The sequence below is a fragment of the Homo sapiens genome, chromosome 12, assembly GCF_000001405.40.
Source record: "Homo sapiens chromosome 12, GRCh38.p14 Primary Assembly".
Classification (NCBI taxonomy): Eukaryota; Metazoa; Chordata; class Mammalia; order Primates; family Hominidae; genus Homo; species Homo sapiens.
In genome coordinates this window covers 67,898,369-67,921,921 of record NC_000012.12, presented here as the reverse complement: position 1 = coordinate 67,921,921, position 23,553 = coordinate 67,898,369, and the positions used below count along the sequence as shown (strand labels likewise).

Here is a 23,553-nt window from a genome sequence, read left to right as displayed (position 1 = left end):
CTGTAGTCCCAGCTACTCAGAAGGCTAAGGTGTGAGCATCACCTGAGCCCAGGAGCTCAAGGCTGCAGGGAGCCATGATTACACCACTGCACTCCAGCCTGGGCGACAGAGCGAGACCCTGTATCAAAACAAATTTTTTTCAAGATGCCCTCTTCCCTCAGATAAAATCCATTTCAGTAATATTTCTGAAAGACACTAATATCCTGAAACATGTCCATTGTCTAAACATTTGTGAGATATAGTACCCAATGTCAATTTTTTATTTTTGCTTTCAAAGCAGCTTTACTATATTTTCTGTCAATCCTAATTCTTTCTTTCCTGTAAGATTAGAATCACCCTTTTGCTTTGCTTAACCTCAACTACTCCAAGCTGTAGTTGGAGCTATGTAAGCAGTATGTTTGGAACAAAGGGCAAATTCCCAGGCACTGCCAATCATCCCCAGTTACTCACATCCCTGCTGCTAGCTTTAACATGCTGGAGAAAACCAAGAAGCATGTGGAAAACCCTCTATGCTGGCTTCTTCAGCTGTCAGCTTTTTCTGAATAATGGGACATGCATCAATCAATGTTTGTTTGTTTCTTCCATCTCTTGCTCTTCCTAGCCCCACTCGTCCTTAGGCCCTTCCCCCACTTACCTGGATTCCTGCAATAGCTTCTGAATGGGCTCCCCTTCCTCATGTCAGTATCTTTGTTGACTTAAACTTTCACAACCCGCCTTGACCTTGGGCTTTTGGATTTTCATTGTTCTACCTCCAGAATAAAGTTTAAACATCCTTACATGTCATTCAAAGACCTCAAATATATGCCTAAGCTATACCCCCAAGCTCTTGTTCCTTGAGATCCTTCCATATGCCATTAGCTGTAGCCTGGTGCAGCTGCTTCCTCACAGGCACTGGTACCACAGTGTGTGCTTTGATCATTCTCTGCCCTCAGTGAGGAAGGCAGGACCCCATCTCACTCAGGGCTCAGCTTCACCCTTCTGAGAAACCTTTGCTGACACCTCTATTCATTAAATTCCTTTCCTAGGGCTCCTATCACTTTCTACTTTATATCTTATTTATGTGTGTATCTGCTCAGCTCCCTCCTGGATTGCAAACTCCTTGAGTATAGAGATGTATCTGATTCATACCCCCAGAGCAAAGTGTCTTATGCACACAGCAAGCACTGAATACATGTTTTGAGAGTGACCGAATGCCAGGCTAATGGATGAAGGGAAAACCTCAAAAATCTTCACTATGCATCATCAGCCCAGGTACAATCTTCAACCATGCTTTTATAAGCAACACTTCCTGCAGATCTGCCAGGTAAATGTACCCACCTGAGACAGCTCTCTCTTGCTTTCTCTCATACATTCTTAGCATAGTCCTCATGGTAATAGTGCCTTGCTCTGAAAGAAAGACTGCGTGGGGTGGAGAAAAGGAGGTGAGTTATGTTTTTCCATCTGACTTGTCCTGCTGTTGCTTCAAGTTCATTATTTGCATTTTTATCTTGGTTTTGATAAACTAAGGTGCTTGTCAGCTGTCTTGTTTCCTGGAAGCTCTGCCGAAGTGCATATAAAAGTGGCTCATAGCTCTTGGTGTTCTAGGCCCCAGAAATCTATCCTTACTTGGGACCCTGTGGTTTTTCCCACAGAAGGCAGGAGGGCTCAATTCAGTTTGTATTCCCTGCTGTGAACAACCAGGTTTCTAGGGCTAGAGCTAGCTATGAAGAGCAGCAAACTGAAGCAAGCTGACTGTGGTGTTATGTATCTGTATGTGTGTGTTTGCACATGTGTGTGCACAGGTGTGCATGTATGAATGTAGAGATGTGGAGTGAATGGAAGAAGTACTAGTCAAGGGTGAGCAAGATACTGGTTGCTAATTTAACCGATACGAGTGAGAAAGGATAAAGTACTGTCTACTGATACCAAAGGAAAGGTCTGGGGTCTAGATAGCTTCAATAAGCCCACAAACATTAATCCTAAAGTCAAAGCAAATGAAGCATAACCTTCAGCCACAACATCCCCAGACTGCATATTCAACTTAGTGACTTACTTCCCTTTTAATGTTTATTTTAGCCTTTTCTATTCCTTATTACCTTCTGTCACTTGAATTAATGGTCTTGGAGAAAGAAGAAGGAAGATATGCAATATGATTTATGTATTCTTTTCTATCCTCTCCTTATTCTCTTTCTACATACCTCCCAATATTTAGGCCTGTTCTGCCTGGAAGAAGTTCAAGATGTTCTCTTTGGTTCAGGCTCCATGTATTGTTTTTGCCTGTCTGAGAATCTCTTTGAAAGTGCTGAATTAATGAGTCATTGTTTACTCACAAGCTTATTACAGTGTTCAGAATTTCTTTCATAGAGAAAATGCAAGCTGAGTAAAATCTAGGTCTGGGGCCCCCAGGCCTTCTGATTTTCCCATTGCAATGCGGCTGCTTAAACTTCTGGTTTGTCTGCTGGTGGTTGTTATGTACCTGGATTTGAATGCTCTCTCTCTGCCATTCTCCCACCTCAAGACGCCCAGTGTCCTAAGACTGCCTCAGGCCCCATGGCATGGCATGACCTCCTGGTAGCATCACCCAAGAATTTATCCTGGGAGTGCCCCATACCTTATACCTATTTTCTCACAATCACAATGTTCTTGAATATAGTTCCATCCCCTTTAAGTTGATTGAATAGGTAGTTTGGTCAACTCATTCAAAATCTTGTTCTAATGACCAATAATAGTTCAAGGACTTCTCTTTCACCTTAAATATGTATTTAAAATAGGGGTCATCACTTGGTTTAACTCTAAGAAGAATGGAGTAGTATGATATATTCTATCTGAACAAATTGTGTGTGTGTACCTGTGTGTGTGCATGTGTGTGTGTGAGAGAGAGACAAAGACACACACACACACACACAGATTCAGGAAGAAAGAGTGAAAACAGGGGCTTTTGCATACTTTAAATTGCACCATGTTCGCCATCATGCCACTTAACTTTAGAATCTATCATGGGAAGGAACTAGGTATATGTAATTTTTACCTGATTGGTACAGAGCCCCAAGAAGTGAAAATCATGGAAAAATGAGAAACAGTGGGAGATGCTTGTAGCTGACTGGCAGTGTGGGGACCTCACTGCCTGCTCCCACACCAGGTGCCTCCAGCCATACACCTGCTGGTGCTGTGACCCTCGGAGCTGGGGCAGGAGCAGACATGGGATTTGTAAATCTGCTAAACACTTATTTCCTTGCTACTCAGTAGCACACGTGTCCTCTACATCATGTGAAAAAATTGTTCTCCAAACTTTAGCAGAGTTGCATAAGATTTCATCATATACGTTCATCTAAATTTTGAATATACCACTGCCTTCTATATGGAAGTCACTGGCTCCTTAGCAAAGTTCCCTGTAAAGCTTATAAATGATAAATACTAACTTTATTTCATTTTAAATGGTGTGGAGCAAATTTTTTGGTTTGCCGGTTTGTTCATGATATTTTATAATTCAAGTCCTGAGAAATGTCTCTAAGGCCAATGAGAAGCAATGATGGAGGTATGAGTGTGAGTGTGGCATTCTGTTCAGGTTATTTACAGAAACAGAGTTTTGTGCCTTTAAAAACATGGTAGCTAAAACTAAGTTAATGGTGTTAGGTTCAAATTGGAAGGCTGGAATTCAAAGTGCCTGCAGGAAAAACTGAGCTTGTCACTGGTATGTCTTCAATCTTAAGCACCTGGATCCCCAAACTTTAAAATATAAGAGTAGAGCAATGCAAAGAAATTCTATCCTGTTTGGTATCATTTTTCACCAAAACAATTCTAATGATGGTAACAACCATGTAAAAAGTCGTTGAGAAATATTTTTTTCTAAAAATAACAATGCCATGTATCATGCAATTGATTTACTGTTTTGAAGTTATTTCACAGCAAATGTCTTATTTTTGTCCTCACAAAGCTTCTAAGACAAATTTTCTTATCCTCATTTGACATCTGGGAAACAGATACTATGTAATAAAGAAACAGCTAGAATCCAGATTTTTTTGATTCCCATTTTGTATTATTTTTAGTAGTTCACAAAAGAAAGAGAAAAGAAACACTAATGACTGAGAAAGTCCTAGCGGACGTCGACATTTCCTAAGTGTGTGGATATGATATTGTTGGTAGCAGTTTACAGATGCCCCTCAACCTACCATGGTTTGATGAAAATGCTTTTAGTACATCCAACCTACCTACATTCTAGCTTACACTGTAGAACATTTTAGCTTAAGTGTGTTCAGAAGACTTAAATTAGCCCAGAGTAGGGCAAAATTATTGAACACAAAGCCTATTTTATAATAAAATGTCAAATATCTCATGTAAGAGTTTTGTACGACATATTGCTAGCCCAGGAAAAGATCGAAATTCAAAACATGGTTTCTACTGAATGTGTATCATTTTTCACATTATAATCAAGTAAGAAATTCATAAGTCAAACCATCATAAGTTGGGGACCATCTGTATAACTTAGAAGTTCAAGTTTGGATTTTTTTTTCTCCAATTTTCTGGCCAAAGTTTTGGTCTTATATAATGATAAATAACTTTTAACAATTCCTTTAATAAAGCAGCAAGTGAAATTATTATGATAAACTTTTACATAAATACCTACCTATACTTGGGAACTTGCTAAGATAACACTAATTTATTATCAATCAAAGCTTTAGTTTAGCAACCAACTTTTCAGATTTCTGAGTTATCTCAGGGTTCTGATACTTGAGGTGCCTGAGCTTTCAGATTCTTAAGATAATCAAGGTGTTAGATTTACAGGGTAGTTAGCTCGGAAATACTACATTCATGAGGTTTTTTTCTTCTGCTTTTTTTGTTTATTTGAATTTTCCCGTTTTTCGTGATGAGAATATATTGTACTTTTATAACAGAAGAATGTTTCTAAGATACCATTTTCTATAAGTAAAATTTTAAAAAGGAAAAAGGAAGGAAGCAGGGAAGGCAGAAGAAAGGCAGGTGAATAGAAAGAAAAAAAGAGAAAGAAAAAGCGGAAAAAGAAGAGAAACAGAAAACAAGACAAGACTCTAGCCCAGGCAGTGAGAAGTTCATAGTTAGGCTGCTGTAATGATCGTGCTAAGGCCACAGAACCAGACCACAGCCTTGTTTGTGAGAGATGTTTCCATAAAGGAACATGTGCTCCTGCTGTCCAGTCATCCTGGGAAGAGGCTAATTCTGGCTCTGAAAATGAAGCGGCCTCCATTTAGGGGTTGAGTCAGGCCTATACTCTAAGGTACAGAAATGCCTAGAGAGTTCTGATGAGTGTGAGCTGAGTTAGCCCTAATCACTGGCAGAATGCTGTGAGTTTGGGTCTGTAGACCCTTAGTAAGAGCTTCAGAGTGGAACCTGCAGAAGCCCCTCACTGGGCTAGGTGAAGTTAGATTAGCTGCAGACTGGTGTCCCTGAAGAGCGGTGATGTTGTGAGGATGGTAGGCACAGGGGCACAGTGAGGTGCAAGGTAAGAAGCCAGCCAGCTTAGAGAAACGGGGGTTGTGGGGCATTCCTGAGACAGCAGGAGTCCTACCTGGGAGACTGCAGCCAGGAGACCCCTGGGGGCCAGCTAGTTCCTGGGAATCAAGCTGGTGGGAGTGGGGGTGGGGGCTCACATCATCACAAGTTAGATATCAAAGGCAAGCATAACATTCTCTCATGGCTCAGACTTGTCAGGTCTGGGACATAAATGGTGAGGACTGGGCAAAAAGACTGGATGGAAGGAAATGCATCAAAATGTGCAATGGAAATACATAGAAATTGTTGAATTATGAGTGATTTCTTTCTTTGTTTTCTGTAATTTCCAAGTCATATACAGTTTCTTTCACAATTAAAAATGTCAGCATGTTATAAATGTTATTGTTTTGTGTTTAGTCTCAGCCCTGAGGCACTGTTCAAAGTGTTCTTGCAACCTCTCCTAGTATTTCAGCAGACGGAATTATTCCTTTGCCTGCTCTCAGGTGCCTGCCTCTAAGGTGACACCCTGTTGGCTCCAGGTCCTTCTTTCTTTTTCTTTTTTTTTTTTTTGGAGACAGAGTTTTGCTTTATCACCCAGGCTGGAGTGCAGTGGCACAATCTTGGCTCACTGCAACCTCCACCTCCCGGGCTCAAGCAATTCTCCTGCCTCAGCCTCCTAAGTAGCTGGGATTACAGATGCATGCCACCATGCCTAGCTAATTTTTTTAATTTTTAGTAGAGACGGGATTTCACCATGTTGGCCAGGCTGGTCTTGAACTCCCAACCTCATGATCCGCCTGCCTTGGCTACCCAAAGTGCTGGGATTACAGGTGTGAGTCACCGCGCCCGGCCTCCTGGTCCTTCTTTCTACACAGAAGAACAAAGGAGACTAAATTGTATCATGTCTGTATACTTCAAAGGGGCAAAGCTGATCACTCTTTTGTAAAACAATCAGGAAGTAAGTGTTGACAGTACCCTTCAAAGGATCTACCAACATCTTACCTGGCATAGCATATTTTAATGACTTGATAAATATTTGTTGAATAAATAATATAATCAATATATTCTCTAATTGCATGCTAAGTATTACATAAAATGTAAATATTGATTCAGCATTAGCTCTGCCACTCATAATATTTTTCAGGACTGTAGACTGAGGTTTACCTAAAAGCTTTCTGAGGGGCATAATACTATATTATAGAGTTATGCTGTTTAGTATGGTAACATGTGACTACTGAGGACTTCAAATGTAGGTAGAATGCATTAAGATGTGCTGTGGGTGTACAACACACACTGAATTTTGAATCATCTCAATATATTTTTAAAAATTTGTATTACATGTTGAAATAATAGTACTTTGGATATATTGCATTTAGACTTATTAAAATGAATTTTACTGTTTTTTTTTTTACTTTTAAAATTATGGTTACCAGAAAACTTTAAGTTGCATACGTGGTTTGTACTATTTTCCAATTGGATAGTGCTATTATAGCGTAAACATTTTTGATGGGAGATTTCTAACACATAGTTTTAACTTGACCTTATTGTAGTGCTGAAAATTTCCTTCCTCATCCTTCTGCTGTAAGTTACATTGTAAATCCTCATTTCTTCTCCTAGTAATGCAATGATTATTTGACAGGAAGAAGATAATAAGATCAGGTAGCAGTATGAAAGCAAAGCCAGATATATGCATTGCAGAACATAGGATAGGTTTGAAGTTCAGGGACTACAAGTAATAGGTTTGAAGTTCAGGGACTAAAAGTAAGAGTTACTTAGAAAAACTGACTGGAAGGCAGTGAGCCCATGGAAGCAGAGACCACAGAATATATGAACTGTCATGAACCTCTGAATATATGGCCATTAGGGAGGGATTGTTGTTCAGGAAGATTATTGTGTGTTGGTGCAACAAAGTATTGTATTTTCAGGTATGATTAATCATTTGGTATCTAAAAATCCTACAGATCTCTTTTCAAGCAAAATGGACTATCTGTACTGGAGATACTTTTCAGAAATCCTAATCTTAGCTTTCTATTAAAACATTGATTAAGATGAATGACATATTTGTGGATAGCCAAAGCAAATGCTAACCATCTATCTGATAATATTCTGGGTAATAACTGTAATATATTTGGATTATATAAGTCCAGTGCCTCATCAAAATGTTCTAATGTAACCACAATTATATGCCACGATCTCAATTGTTTTTAATCAAGAATTGGCATAAGAAATGGCCATGAGAAATACATGTGAAATATTTTAGAAAACATATTTTCCATTGGATTTCTCTAAGTCTCTATGATTAAATTCCATATAAGTAATTTGTCCTTGATTTTATAACCTGTAAAAAAAAAAGTTATTCTCTCCTTAAAAACTAATATCTTTCCTTCTGCTAGACAGAAATATCCCATGACACTGTCTTTTGCCTTGGGTAATCATAAGCTCAGAATTAATTTAGTGCTTAATTGTGGTAATTATCTAATTTCTGATTTTTGATAAAATTATCTTTCTCTAGCTTCTCCTCATTCTTTTTATTAGAAATACCCTGGATACATAATGATAGAGGTAGTTCTTAGTGGGCTGGATCTCATGTTCATTTGCCCTGGCATGTGGAATAACCACCACCTACCTTCAACCCCCAATCCAACCACACATGATCCTAGGGAAAGCTTTAACTCTGTCCTCAGCTGAAGTTCAGATTGATTTTTCTGATGGAGTATGTTGGGGGCATCAGAAACGAGACTGAATAGAGATATAACATATTAAGAGATGCCTGCATATATTCCAGCCTTAATTCAAGGGAAAGAAAAAAATAGCCTGAATATTTTTGCTTCTGTAATGAACAGAAGCACTAAAAGAAGAAGAAAGAATTGCTTCTCTTTTTGGGCTGGTGATAGAAATAAGGAAGAATTACAGAATGAGAAAAGTGATCATTATAAAACTTTAACATTAAAAGCCCTGTATAATAAAGTTGTGTCCTGGTACTTCATACAAAAATCCTTACTAGTCTACAAGACCCTGTGTGATCAGTTTCCTCCTGCCTTCTCCAGCATTATCCTGCCACTCCTCTGCTCACACACTGCTGCAGATGGACTGACTTTCATTCTTGGTCTCATGGAGCTTACATGCTAGTAGATGAATGAATTGGTCAATCTGTCAACCTCTGTGTACATTGCCTATATCACAACTTTCTCCTTACCCTAAAAGTCCCACTTTTGAATTGTAATCAGTTGGAGGACTTTGAACCTCAAGAAGCAGAATAAAGAGAAAAAATCCTCAAGTCCTTTGATAGAAGCTAGCATAAGCTTGTCAGGGCTAAGCTTCTTGTCACTGTGTGTGTATTGGGGGGAGGTGCTAGGGCCCCATTCCATCACACTATCTTCTTGGAGTAACTTGACAGAGATGTTGCACTAGATGATTAATTAATTGATAATTAACAGTTTTGGGGTGGCTTCATTGTGCCATGAGGTTGGGGGCTGAGAGTATGACTGAGATCAGTCCCCTCCCTGAACTTACTATCTAGTGGGGAATATGGACAGGCACAGCAGCAACTGTAATCGAATGTGATGGGCATTCAGGGGCAATGGGAGCACCTGGTGGGGGTCTGGCAGGACTTGATTCATTGGCAGAGGGAGTAGGGAAGCTTCCTGGAGAAAGAAACATCTACATTGAAACTTGAATGATGACTGGGAGTTATCCAGGAAAAAAGGCTGGGAGGTGTGTTCTAGACAGGGATGCAGCAACACAATAGCACCAAAATGAGAGAGTTATTCAAAACCTGCATGTAGTCAAGGTGACTAGAACAAAGGGAGTAAGGAGAGAAAGTAGCATGAGACGGGATGCAGATCATAAAGGACTTATAAGCCATGTTGTAGTGCACAAAGTTCACTGACATATTTTCAAAAGCAAGAGCACAATACCTTCAGTTGGGTGCCCTACTACCCCCCAAAACCCTATAAACCAGCAACAATGTCATTGTCCTTAGGTCAAGACAGAGATATCACACAGAATCTATCCCTTTATTCATATATTATCCTACTTAATTTATATTTTACCCAACTTTTGATTCATATATATATATATATATATATATATATTTATTTATCTGGGTAGAATGTACATATTTTTCAGTCATCCCGAGATTTAAACCATTTCATTTCTATCATATGCTTAATTCTCCTTTTTTTCTGAGAAACTCTTTTAAAACCCGTGTGCCATGGAATATTAGTTCTAAGAGAGGTTATTACCAAAAAGGGAGGAGGGGGAATCCTGGGTCAAATGTATCTACTTCTTGGAGAATAACAACACACATCAGGCTCTGGGAAATCTTGCAGAAAATAAATGTATTTTAATTATTTGGACTACTGTTTCTTAAGTGTATTTTACTATAGAATTTATCCACATAACCTTGTTGTTGTCTTATGTTGTACATCATGCGGTCCATCTATCAGTGTCCCTAGAACAGTAAGAGTACTGTTGAGTGATGCCCTCTGGCATCTCTCCCTTCACTTCTCTGCCATTGTCTTCTTTTGGTCCATTATGTTGTGCATGATTCCTGAAATCTCGTTTTCCTTCCTTGGTCTCTGCTCTCCAATTGAAAGTACATCATGCTACAGGGGTAACTATTTGTTAAGATATAGTTTATTTGAGTACCTTGCTTATCAGAGAGGATGGTCGTAGGGCAGGGTGGTGGGGCAAACATTTCATTTGGCAGAAATCAAAGGAAGCAGATATTTGGAAAGGAGAGAGTAGAAGGTATGTTCAGAAGGCAATATGTAGACAATCTGGCTGGATATACGAAATAAGGCAAACAGGTAGCCCATCCTATCTGTGTACCTTAGGCATTTTCTAATGTGTTGGGAAATGATACTTTCATTTCTCCCACCAGAACATTAAAACTTGAAGCCTGAAAAGAGTTCTGTAACGATGGCCCTAAACATTTTCTAAAGGGAGAGAAGGAGCTGTTCATTCGCTGCCACGCTGCTATCACAGAGAGGCCTGCTGCATTTGCGTTGTTTGCCAAGAATGAGAGGCTGGCTCCAGGATCCCACTTCTAACTTGGCCAGCGTGCACTCTTTTCTCTTACTATGAATACTCACTTGAGAACCTTGCAGCTATTTTAGGTACTTTGTATAAGGTGGCCTTCTTGGATGACACTGGGGCTTCTTGTATTGTTGAAATTAGCTGGTGGTGGCAACTTTCAGGATGAAAAGTCTGCTAGTAATTAAATTCCGATGAATAGTTAAGAATAGAAGTATCCCAGGAGAGCAAAGCTCTGCAGAGGGTAACTGTGCACTGGCATTGCAAATGTGACCTGTCACACATTGGTTTCGCAGGCACTTTCAGTCTCCATGACTGCCACGGAGCACAAATGCATTGGCATCGCGGGATAATATCAGTGTTGTTGAACGTTGTAGAAAGTAATGGCCTCCCATTAGCAGAGAAATCCTTAGGCAATCGAAAATCGTTTATCAACACACACATCGAAGCCAATAGGAGACATTTATTTCCAAGGTGGGAAATGTTTATTCTGTGTCATTCTCCCCAGACAAAGCCCTTACTTGCCTAATACTTAATGACAAATGATGCAGCTGCTCTTCCTCTATTGGACACATGTACAAAACAGGAAGAGAGGAGCAGTTGCTACATATGCCATACATAATCCCTATCCCAATTGGCTCAGAGCACGCCTTTCTTTTTTATGTGTCATAGACGACATGGGAAAGTAATTTTAAAAATGAATCCCTGCACTGCTATAAATAAGTTCAGTTGTCTCCAGAGGCCAAGTGTAGGTTTCAATGAAAAAAAAAAAAAAAAAAAAAAACTATCACCACTTTATATGTGTGTTAGTAAAAGGGATGGCATTTGAATATGATTGCTGAGAGATTTGGAATTCCAGAAAAGTGAGGCATTTCTGAGTAATACATGAATAAGAGGTAAAGAACCTACCAGCTCGTTACTTAATGCTCTTTAATAATACCACAATATGGAAGATTCACATTCTCTATTTCCCATTATCTGGATGACTTGGATAATTCAAATAAGATCCACAGACTGGGAAACCAGTGAGGACTAAACAAGTTGTCATTGTCCTTCCCACGTGGGCCCTCGATATGCCCCTAGGTTCCAGCCAACGTTCTAATGGCTTTCTCACTGTGAATGAATATTTCTTCGTTGCCATTATTTCTGGCTTTCCTAAGGTGGGGCACATACATTAAAAAAAAAAAAAAAAAAAAAAAACCTATAACTCATGTAACAGGTTTTTATTAAATCAGCCCCGTTACATTGTAGTTTCAACAACTGGTTTCCTATCTTGTGTGTCTGTGCTGGGGTTCCTGTGTTGGTTTGCTGGCCATTAGTGAATTCTTTGGGACTGGGATTCATTTTTGCCCTCCTGCTCGTTTTAGAGATAGGTAAGCTCCATACCACTCCCAAACCCAAATCCTGATACACAACCTCCTGCTGAATCTCTTGACACTGACTATTAGAACTTCTTTCTGTGGTCTAATACTTTGGGTCTCCTCTTACTTTCTCTTCCAACCATATAGGGCTTCCCAATCTCTGAGTCAGGCTCTCTCTATCTGACCCTCTCTACTATCTATCAAGGCTGTTTCAGAGGCCATGAGTTTAAGACACAAATGCTGCTTTTGTTTCAGTTGTTCTCCCTAAACATTGTTTTAGCTTTAGCTATCACCTTACTCCTTCCAATATTCATTTGCTCTTTCAAAAACACTTATGGTTTCTATGTTGTACGAGGCACTGGAACTGGTAGAAAGAAAAAGAAGGCATAGTTCTTTCTTTAACAAGCTCACAGTCTAACATAAAACACTGTATATAATATCTCACGTTTAAGTAAGACTTTAAAGTTCACAAAGAATTTTCACATCTATTTGTTGACTATTGTGCTTTAAGCTATTCATTAATTGATTTTCCATATTCAGGACCACAACTATTCCAAAGGAGTCATGAAACTAGCTTTCCCATGATGTAAGTCAGATGCATACCAGAGAGAAACCTTATAAAAGTAATGAATGTGGGAAAGCCTTCAACCAGAATCATTGCCTTTTCCAGCGTGCACGAATTCATACAGGAGAGAAATGCCACAAATGTTTTGTTGCCTAAGCAAACTGGTTTCTTGACCTGCATTAGTTGGTGAATTTTCTATTTAATGAGGCCTCAATTCAGGACCATTTGAGGTTTTAATGCAGATTCAGCTCTTTTAAATTGAGAGAATGTGCAGTTTATGCTTTGAAATATGATTTATATAGGTGGTTTAGCACAGTCACGGTTGTTTAGCCTGCACAAATTCCAATGAGATTACATCATTTTATTTTTTATTATGTTTTTGCACATTTTGGTGAAGAGTGACACTTTGGCGAATATCCACTGCCATTGGATGAGGCATAGCTGTGCCACTGGAAAGTATGAAAACACCTAAAGCATTCTGCTGTCCATTTGGTCAACTGAGTGACATACTTTGGAGAATTTCAAGAAAAAGTTGTCAGCGATATCAAGAGCCAAATCCAGAAAGGGGTCATGGTAATATCACTTTGTGGAGCTACCTTTTTTAACTCAATACTTCAGGCTCTTTATTTACTTTTAGGTAATTTGCTAGTAATTACAGGGTAAGTTGCCTGGGTGCGGGTGTGCACCAGGTATACAACCTGGAACTCAATAAGTGGATGGAAAAACTGAAACAAGGAAACTGAGAGCAAAACAGCTGCTGTGTCATGGCAATCGGGGGATACTCAGACCCCTCAAGACAACTTTAAAGATGATTTTTCAGCTAGAAAAATATAACTGGCTCCTGAATAGATACATGCATAAGAGCAACCTGTGTTGTCAGTCATAATCATAAATCATCTTATTGTTCTGACACCTATGTTAAAGTTTGAAATTTGGGAATCAACCAGTAAATTATTGCAGAATTCTATCTCTTGCTTTACAATTCTGTCTTAAAGGCTGGAGTTAGAAAATGCTCATGAAATAGCCTACATTGTAACTAACACCTTAAAAGAAGGGGCATTCTGGAAAATTATAAACTCTGCTGAAAGAATTAGAAACTCAGATATTGAAGGCTAACATTCACTGAAATTTCCATGTGAAAATGTTATCTCAGTAAAAAGTGAAGCTGTTTCAAACCAATGTGTTGAGCTGTAATAATAGCGGCAGAGTGCTCTGCCTAATTGCATACAAAGATTCTCTGCCAGAATATATACCTGATTGCACACAGCATTTTCCTAGGCGCTATTTCCTTTTTCCTGGTATCTTATTACAATCTTAAGGGAAAAGGGGGAGTTAAGAAAACTAACACTTAGTGATCAGCTAATTTATCCTAGCTCTTGAAATTTGTTAAAATATGTTGTCTCCTTTAATCCCTCCAGAGATGTGTCATGTGACTACTATTATTCCCCTTTTATATATTATAGAGTTGGAGCTTAGCGAGTTTAAATAACTTGCATAAGGCCACACAGTTCACCACCAAAGCCCAAGCCCATGCCTCTGAACTTCTGCCATCTAGTGTACGTGGTGTTTTCAATGTGGAGACACTGAAGTCAACGTGGTAGACTAAATGAACACTTGCTGCCCTCATGCAACTTACATTCTTTTGGAGAAGACAGACAATAAATGAGTGAACAAATAAATAAAATGGCTTAAACAGTGATGTGTGCCCTGAAGAAAATGAAACAGAATAATATGTAAGGGAACACTGCAGTGGGGGAAATATTAAACAGTAAAATCAAGAAGTGATAGCAAAAATGTTGACCTTCAATCTGAGAACTAAATAGAAGGAGTGAGGCATTCAAAGAACAGAGGGAAAAAAATTTAGCTGAGGAACTAACCAGGCTACAGGCCATGAGGCAGAAAACAATTTCATTTGTTTTAAAACATAAAGATAAGTGCAAAAATTCTATTTTAAAAAACTCAGTACGTTGAATTCAGCAGGACATTTAAAATAAATCAACATTAATTCTTGCAAAGATGCTCCAACATTAGCAAATCTATGAAGGCAATTCAGTGAATTAAATGAAGAAAACCAGGTAATTATACCAAGAAAGCTGAAAAAAAAAAAAAAGAGAATTCAAACAAATATAAAACCCATTTATAGGAGAGAGGAAAATAAAAGCCTTTTAAGAACTAGAAATATAAGAAAAATTCCTTGGTTTAATATAGAGTGGCTATAGCAAACATCTTTAGAAACCATCATACTTATGAGGAAATATTAGATTCAGTTTTATCTAAAACAGCAATATTAACTCTCATGATATTCAACACTATCCCGATGGCCCTCACCAACAAAATAGGGCAACAGAAATGAGGTTTAATTAATGGAAAGAAAAAAAGAATTGGCAGATGATAGGATCATCTACCTTGAAAATCTAAGACAACTAGCTTAAATTCTATTACAGCTTTAAGAAGTTCATCAAATAGCCAGCATCCACAATCAATATACAAAAAAAAGCTTTTCCACCCACCAGTGATAATCATTAGAATATATATTTTTAATATACCTGTTGTCCATTTGCATGTCTTCTTTTGAAAGATGTCTATTCAGGTCCTTTGCCCATTTTTAAATTGGGTTATTTGTTTTCTATTGAGTTGAGTTCTTTATATATTTTGGATATTAACCCCTTATCGGATTTATGGTTTACAAATACAGTATATTTACCCATGCTGTAGGTTGTCTCTTCACTCTCTTGTTTGAGAAAATGTGGTATATACACAATAGAATACTATTCAGCCTTAAAAAGGGAAAATCCTGTCATTAGCGACAACATGGGTGAAACTGGTGGACATTATGTTAAATAAGCCAGGCACAGAAAGACAAATACCACATGATCTCATATGTGCAGTGTAAAAAAGTAAAACTCATAGAAACAGAGTAAAATGGTGGTTTCCAAAGGCTGGGGGCTGGGGGTTTGGGGAGATGTTGGACAAAGGACAAAACATTTCAGTTAGGAGGAATACATTTAAGAGATCTCTCAAAAAAAAATCTATTGTTCATGGTGATGACTACAATTAATAACAATATTATTGTATAATTGAAAATTACTAAGAAAGTAGATTCTAAGTGTTCTCACCACACATACACACAAATAATAAGTATGTGAGGTAATGCATATATTAGTTTGATTTAGCCATTCTACAATGTATACATATAACCAAACATCAAGTTGTACAATATAAATATATACAATTTTTACTTGTCAATTAAAAATTTAAGAATAAAATAAATTTTAAAAAAGAAAATGCATTTTTTTTATTATACTTTAAGTTTTAGGGTACATGTGCACAATGTGCAGGTTAGTTACATATGTATACATGTGCCATGCTGGTGTGCTGCACCCACTAACTCGTCATCTAGCATTAGGTATATCTCCCAGTGCTATCCCTCCCCCCTCCCCCCACCTCACCACAGTCCCCAGAGTGTGATATTCCCCTTCCTGTGTCCATGTGATCTCATTGATCAATTCCCACCTATGAGTGAGAATATGCGGTGTTTGATTTTTTGTTCTTGTGATAGTTTACTGAGAATGATGATTTCCAGTTCCATCCATGTCCCTACAAAGGACATGAACTCATCATTTTTTATGGCTGCATAGTATTCCATGGTGTATATGTGCCACATTTTCTTAATCCAGTCTATCATTGTTGGACATTTGGGTTGGTTCCAAGTCTTTGCTATTGTGAATAATGCCACAATAAACATACATGTGCATGTGTCTTTATAGCAGCATGATTTATAGTCCTTTGGGTATATACCCAGTAATGGGATGGCTGGGTCAAATGGTATTTCTAGTTCGAGATCCCTGAGGAATCGCCACACTGACTTCCACAATGGTTGAACTAGTTTACAGTCCCACCAACAGTGTAAAAGTGTTCCTATTTCTCCACATCCTCTCCAGCACCTGTTGTTTCCTGACTTTTTAATGCTTGCCATTCTAACTGGTGTGAGATGGTATCTAATTGTGGTTTTGATTTGCATTTCTCTGATGGCCAGTGATGATGAGCATTTTTTCATGTGTTTTTTGGCTGCATAAATGTCTTCTTTTGAGAAGTGTCTGTTCATGTCCTTTGCCCACTTTTTGATGGGGTTGTTTGTTTTTTTCTTGTAAATTTGTTTGAGTTCATTGTAGATTCTGGATATTAGCCCTTTGTCAGATGAGTAGGTTGCGAAAATTTTTTCCCATTTTGTAGGTTGCCTGTTCACTCTGATGGTAGTTTCTTTGGCTGTGCAGAAGCTCTTTAGTTTAATTAGATCCCATTTGTCAATTTTGTCTTTTGTTGCCATTGCTTTTGGTGTTTTAGACATGAAGTCCTTGCCCATGCCTATGTCCTGAATGGTAATGCCTAGGTTTTCTTCTAGGGTTTTTATGGTTTTAGGTCTAACGTTTAAGTCTTTAATCCATCTTGAATTGATTTTTGTGTAAGGTGTAAGGAAGGGATCCAGTTTCAGCTTTCTACATATGGCTAGCCAGTTTTCCCAGCACCATTTATTAAATAGGGAATCCTTTCCCCATTGCTTGTTTTTCTCAGGTTTGTCAAAGATCAGATAGTTGTAGATATGCGGCGTTATTTCTGAGGGCTCTGTTCTGTTCCATTGATCTATATCTCTGTTTTGGTACCAGTACCATGCTGTTTTGGTTACTGTAGCCTTGTAGTATAGTTTGAAGTCAGGTAGTGTGATGCCTCCAGCTTTGTTCTTTTGGCTTAGGATTGCCTTGGCCATGCAGGCTCTTTTTTGGTTCCACATGAACTTGAAAGTAGTTTTTTCCAATTCTGTGAAGAAAGTCATTGGTAGCTTGATGGGGATGGCATTGAATCTGTAAATTACCTTGGGCAGTATGGCCATTTTCACGATATTGATTCTTCCTACCCATGAGCATGGAATGTTCTTCCATTTGTTTGTATCCTCTTTTATTTCCTTGAGCAGTGGTTTGTAGTTCTCCTTGAAGAGGTCCTTCACATCCCTTGTAAGTTGGATTCCTAGGTATCTTATTCTCTTTGAAGCAATTGTGAATGGGAGTTCACTCATGATTTGGCTCTCTGTTTGTCTGTTATTGGTGTATAAGAATGCTTGTGATTTTTGTACATTGATTTTGTATCCTGAGACTTTGCTGAAGTTGCTTATCAGCTTAAGGAGATTTTGGGCTGAGACAATGGGGTTTTCTAGATATACAATCATGTCATCTGCAAAGAGGGACAATTTGACTTCCTCTTTTCCTAATTGAATACCCTTTATTTCCTTCTCCTGCCTATTTGCCCTGGCCAGAACTTCCAACACTATGTTGAATAGGAGTGGTGAGAGAGGGCATCCCTGTCTTGTGCCAGTTTTCAAAGGGAATGCTTCCAGTTTTTGCCCATTCAGTATGATATTGGCTGTGGGTTTGTCATAGATAGCTCTTATTATTTTGAAATACGTCCCATCAATACCTAATTTATTGAGAGTTTTTAGCATGAAGGGTTGTTGAATTTTGTCAAAGGCTTTTTCTGCATCTATTGAGATAATCATGTGGTTTTTGTCTTTGGCTCTGTTTATATGCTGGATTACATTTATTGATTTGCGTATATTGAACCAGCCTTGCATCCCAGGGATGAAGCCCACTTGATCATGGTGGATAAGCTTTTTGATGTGCTGCTGGATTCGGTTTGCCAGTATTTTATTGAGGATTTTTGCATCAATGTTCATCAAGGATATTGGTCTAAAATTCTATTTTTTGGTTGTGTCTTTGCCCGGCTTTGGTATCAGAATGATGCTGGCCTCATAAAATGAGTTAGGGAGGATTCCCTCTTTTTCTATTGATTGGAATAGTTTCAGAAGGAATGGTACCAGTTCCTCCTTGTACCTCTGGTAGAATTCGGCTGTGAATCCATCTGGTCCTGGACTCTTTTTGGTTGGTAAACTATTGATTATTGCCACAATTTCAGCTCCCGTTATTGGTCTATTCAGAGATTCAACTTCTTCCTGGTTTAGTCTTGGGAGACTGTATGTATCGAGGAATTTATCCATTTCTTCTAGATTTTCTAGTTTATTTGCATAGAGGTGTTTGTAGTATTCTCTGAAGGTAGTTTGTATTTCTGTGGGATCAGTGGTGATATCCCCTTTATCATTTTTCATTGTGTCTATTTGATTCTTCTCTCTTTTTTTATTAGTCTTGCTAGCGGTCTATGAATTTTGTTGATCCTTTCAAAAAACCAGCTCCTGGATTCATTAATTTTTTGAAGGGTTTTTTGTGTCTCTATTTCCTTCAGTTCTGCTCTGATTTTAGTTATTTCTTGCCGTCTGCTAGCTTTAGAGTGTGTTTGCTCTTGCTTTTCTAGTTCTTTTAATTGTGATGTTAGGGTGTCAATTTTAGATCTTTCCTGCTTTCTCTTCTGGGCATTTAGTGCTATAAATTACCCTATACACACTGCTTTGAATGCGTCCCAGAGATTCTGGTATGTTGTGTCTTTGTTCTCATTGGTTTCAAAGAACATCTTTATTTCTGCCTTCATTTTGTTATGTATCCAGTAGTCATTCAGGAGCAGGTTGTTCAGTTTCCATGTAGTTGAGCGGTTTTGAGTGAGATTCTTAATCCTGAGTTCTAGTTTGATTGCAGTGTGGTCTGAGAGATAGTTTGTTATAATTTCTCTTCTTTTACATTTGCTGAGGAGAGCTTTACTTCCAAGTATGTGGTCAATTTTGGAATAGGTGTGGTGTGGTGCTGAAAAAAATGTATATTCTGTTGATTTGGGGTGGAGAGTTCTGTAGATGTCTATTAGGTCTGCTTGGTGCAGAGCTGAGTTCAGTTCCTGGGTATCCTTGTTGACTTTCTGTCTCATTGATCTGTCTAATGTTGACAGTGGGGTGTTAAAATCTCCCATCATTAATGTGTGGGAGTCTAAGTCTCTTTGTAGGTCACTCAGGACTTGCTTTATGAATCTGGGTGCTCCTGTATTGGGTGCATATATATTTAGGATAGTTAGCTCTTCTTGTTGAATTGATCCCTTTACCATTATGTGATGGCCTTCTTTGTCTCTTTTGATCTTTGTTGGTTTAAAGTCTGTTTTATCAGAGACTAGGATTGCAACCCCTGCCTTTTTTTGTTTTCCATTTGCTTGGTAGATCTTCCTCCATCCTTTTATTTTGAGCCTATGTGTGTCTCTACACATGAGATGGGTTTCCTGAATACAGCACACTGATGGGTCTTGACTCTTTATCCAATTTGCCAGTCTGTGTCTTTTAATTGGAGTATTTAGTCCATTTACATTTAAAGTTAATATTGTTATGTGTGAATTTGATCCTGTCATGATGATGTTAGCTGGTGATTTTGCTCGTTAGTTGATGCAGTTTCTTCCTAGTCTCGATGGTCTTTACATTTTGGCATGATTTTGCAGCAGCTGGTACCAGTTGTTCCTTTCCATGTTTAGTGTTTCCTTCAGGAGCTCTTTTAGGGCAGGCCTGGTGGTGACAAAATCTCTCAGTATTTGCTTGTCTGTGAAGTATTTTATTTCTCCTTCACTTATGAAGCTTAGTTTGGCTGGATATGTAATTCTGGGTTGAAAATTCTTTTCTTTAAGAATGTTGAATATTGGCCCCCACTCTCTTCTGGCTTGTAGGGTTTCTGCCGAGAGATCCGCTGTTAGTCTGATGGGCTTCCCTTTGAGGGTAACCCGATTTCTCTCTGGCTGCCCTTAACATTTTTTCCTTCATTTCAACTTTGGTGAATCTGACAATTATGTGTCTTGGAGTTGCTCTTCTCGAGGAGTATCTTTGTGGCGTTCTCTGTATTTCCTGAATCTGAACGTTGGCCTGCCTTGCTAGATTGGGGAAGTTCTCCTGGATAATATCCTGCAGAGTGTTTTCCAACTTGGTTCCATTCTCCCCATCACTTTCAAGTACACCAATGAGACGTAGATTTGGTCTTTTCACATAGTCCCATATTTCTTGGAGGCTTTGCTCATTTCTTTTTATTCTTTTTTCTCTAAACTTCCCTTCTCCCTTCATTTCATTCATTTCATCTTCCATTGCTGATACCCTTTCTTCCAGTTGATCGCATCGGCTCCTGAGGCTTCTGCATTCTTCACGTAGTTCTCGAGCCTTGGTTTTCAGCTCCATCAGCTCCTTTAAGCACTTCTCTGTATTGGTTATTCTGGTTATACATTCTTCTAAATTATTTTCAAAGTTTTCAACTTCTTTGCCTTTGGTTTGAATGTCCTCCCGTAGCTCAGAGTAATTTGATCATCTGAAGCCTTCTTCTCTCAGCTCCTCAAAGTCATTCTCCATCCAGCTTTGTTCCATTGCTGGTGAGGAACTGCGTTCCTTTGGAGGAGGAGAGGTGCTCTGCATTTTAGAGTTTCCAGTTTTTCTGTTCTGTTTTTTCCCCATCTTTGTGGTTTTATCTACTTTTGGTCTTTGATGATGTACAGATGAGTTTTTGGTGTGGATGTCCTTTCTCTTTGTTAGTTTTCCTTCTAACAGACAGGACCCTCAGCTGCAGGTCTGTTGGAATACCCTGCCGTGTGAGGTGTCAGTGTGCCCCTGCTGGGGGGTGCCTCCCAATTAGGCTGCTCGGGGGTCAGGGGTCAGGGATCCACTTGAGGAGGCAGTCTGCCCGTTCTCAGATCTCCAGCTGCGTGCTGGGAGAACCACTGCTCTCTTCAAAGCTGTCAGACAGGGACATTTAAGTCTGCAGAGGTTACTGCTGTCTTTTTGTTTGTCTGTGCCCTGCCCCCAGAGGTGGAGCCTACAGAGGCAGGCAGGCCTCCTTGAGCTGTGGTGGGCTCCGCCCAGTTTGAGCTTCCTGGCTGCTTTGTTTACCTCAGCAAGCCTGGGCAATGGTGGGCGCCCCTCCCCCAGCCTCACTGCCGCCTGGCAGTTTGATCTCACACTGCTGTGCTAGCAATCAGCGAGACTCTGTGGGCGTAGGACCCTCCAAGCCAGGTGCGGGATATAATCTCGTGGGTGCGCCGTTTTTTAAGCTGGTCCGAAAAGTGCAATATTTGGGTGGGAGTGACCCGATTTTCCAGGTGTGTCCGTCACCCCTTTCTTTGACTCGGAAAGGGAACTCCCTGACCCCTTGCGCTTCCCAAGTGAGGCAACGCCTCGCCCCGCTTCGGCTCGCGCAGGGTGCGCGCACCCACTGACCTGTGCCCACAGTCTGGCACTCCCTAGTGAGATGAACCTGGTACCTCAGATGGAAATGCAGAAATCACCCGTCTTCTGCGTTGCTCACGCTGGGAGCTGTAGACTGGAGCTGTTCCTATTCGGCCATCTTGGCTCCTCCCTCGAAAATGCATTTTTTTTTTAAGTTTTTTTTTTCTTTTATTATTATACTTTAAGTTTTAGGGTACATGTGCACATTGTGCAGGTTAGTTACATATGTATACATGTGCCATGCTGGTGCGCTGCACCCACTAACTTGTCATCTAGCATTAGGTATATCTCCCAATGCTATCCCTCCCCCCACCCCACAACAGTCCCCAGAGTGTGATGTTCCCCTTCCTGTGTCCATGTGATCTCATTGTTCAATTCCCACCTATGAGTGAGAATATGCGGTGTTTGGTTTTTTGTTCTTGCGATAGTTTACTGAGAATGATGATTTCCAATTTCATCCACGTCCCTACAAAGGACATGAACTCATCATTTTTTATGGCTGCATAGTATTCCATGGTGTATATGTGCCACATTTTCTTAATCCAGTCTATCATTGTTGGACATTTGGGTTGGTTACAAGAAAAATACAAACGACCCCATCAAAAAGTGGGCGAAGGACATGAACAGACACTTCATGGATTATCCACTCACACACACACACAAATTCTTGATGGATTAAAGACCTGTGTGTGTGCATGTACATGTGTTTACATGAGTTATACACATTTATCCCGAGAAGTATTTGTGCATTTGCATAGAGAAGCTTGTACAAAGAGATCCATTTAATGATCATTTTCATCACAAAATATCAAACAATGTTCATTATGGCTAGAATTGTGAAACAAATTATGGCACATCTAAATATGGAATGCTATGCAATAAATAAAAGGATGAAGAGCATTCATATGTAATCACATAAAAAAACTCAGTCCTATTGTTGAGTGAAATGCAAGTTATAAAACTGTCCTATTTATATAAATCAATTTAAAGAAATTATTCCACACAAAACTCTACTGATTATGTATGTCTATGTGTATATATATATCTACACAAAATTCTGATTATATTTATGTAGATATATACACACACATCTATACAAAACTCTACTGATTATGTGTGTTTATATATATTGCATATCTATTCATATATGTATAAAGTGAGGGCGAATGTTATATATATAAATGTTATACATATATGTATATATATTGACTACAGTGTTTTCCTCCGAGCACAATGATCAGGAATTTCAGGCTACATGGCAGAAAATTACTTTGTGCTTCAAGTATTACACAAATATGCTATAATGCTATTACATTTCCTAGGCAGAGTAATGAGAAGAGTGGATCTTATCTATCTCAGAAGACTCTCTGGAAATTAAAGATCAAGATATTGAGGTCTAATGAATGAAATGAGTTATGGAACATTTTTATTACTTTGTTAAATATTTTGGACAGATAAATATACTGGCTAAGAAGGAAAAAGGAAAGGCTAATTATTTTATTCCTGTAAAAACCATAGATTGCTCTGCATAATCATTTACAATCCACTATCCTATTTTAGTAGGACATATAAATGTCATACATATGTTATTCTAAAGCTGGTTTGAACACCAGCTTCTATGATCATAGGAGTGTGCAGAGTGGTTATACAACAAATTATCTTTCGTTCTTAACAATGTCAACTAATGCTTTACCCAATGCATATGGTCAGGACATACTTGATTGATTGGAACAATGTCTTTAGGTTAACTTATAAAGTAGAAGTCTCAATGGTTACTTCCTCAGTTATATGATTATGAAAAGGCAGGAGCTTAACCCCGCCCTACTCTTCCATGAGATGCAGTTAAGTAATTCTGCATCCTGTAGAGTTCCCTTACTTGTTTAATACGGCTTGCATCACACGATGATAAGAAACATGGTTAAGAATTTCTGAGATCCTATTGTGTATTTCACCTCAGTCTCTCAGTGGAGGTA

General features: G+C 38.9%; 4 annotated features.

Moving 5' to 3' along the window:
• Positions 781–1,281: an enhancer, noted in NCBI's record as "H3K4me1 hESC enhancer chr12:68314421-68314921 (GRCh37/hg19 assembly coordinates)". NCBI's record gives its function as "activates a minimal SCP1, AML or CMV promoter by ChIP-STARR-seq in naive H9 embryonic stem cells {active_cell/tissue: H9 hESC(naive)}" and the evidence as "EXISTENCE:reporter gene assay evidence [ECO:0000049][PMID:30033119]".
• Positions 1,282–1,782: an enhancer, noted in NCBI's record as "H3K4me1 hESC enhancer chr12:68313920-68314420 (GRCh37/hg19 assembly coordinates)". NCBI's record gives its function as "activates a minimal SCP1, AML or CMV promoter by ChIP-STARR-seq in naive H9 embryonic stem cells {active_cell/tissue: H9 hESC(naive)}" and the evidence as "EXISTENCE:reporter gene assay evidence [ECO:0000049][PMID:30033119]".
• Positions 20,525–21,259: an enhancer, noted in NCBI's record as "NANOG-H3K27ac-H3K4me1 hESC enhancer chr12:68294443-68295177 (GRCh37/hg19 assembly coordinates)". NCBI's record gives its function as "activates a minimal SCP1, AML or CMV promoter by ChIP-STARR-seq in primed H9 embryonic stem cells {active_cell/tissue: H9 hESC(primed)}" and the evidence as "EXISTENCE:reporter gene assay evidence [ECO:0000049][PMID:30033119]".
• Positions 21,260–21,996: an enhancer, noted in NCBI's record as "NANOG-H3K27ac-H3K4me1 hESC enhancer chr12:68293706-68294442 (GRCh37/hg19 assembly coordinates)". NCBI's record gives its function as "activates a minimal SCP1, AML or CMV promoter by ChIP-STARR-seq in primed H9 embryonic stem cells {active_cell/tissue: H9 hESC(primed)}" and the evidence as "EXISTENCE:reporter gene assay evidence [ECO:0000049][PMID:30033119]".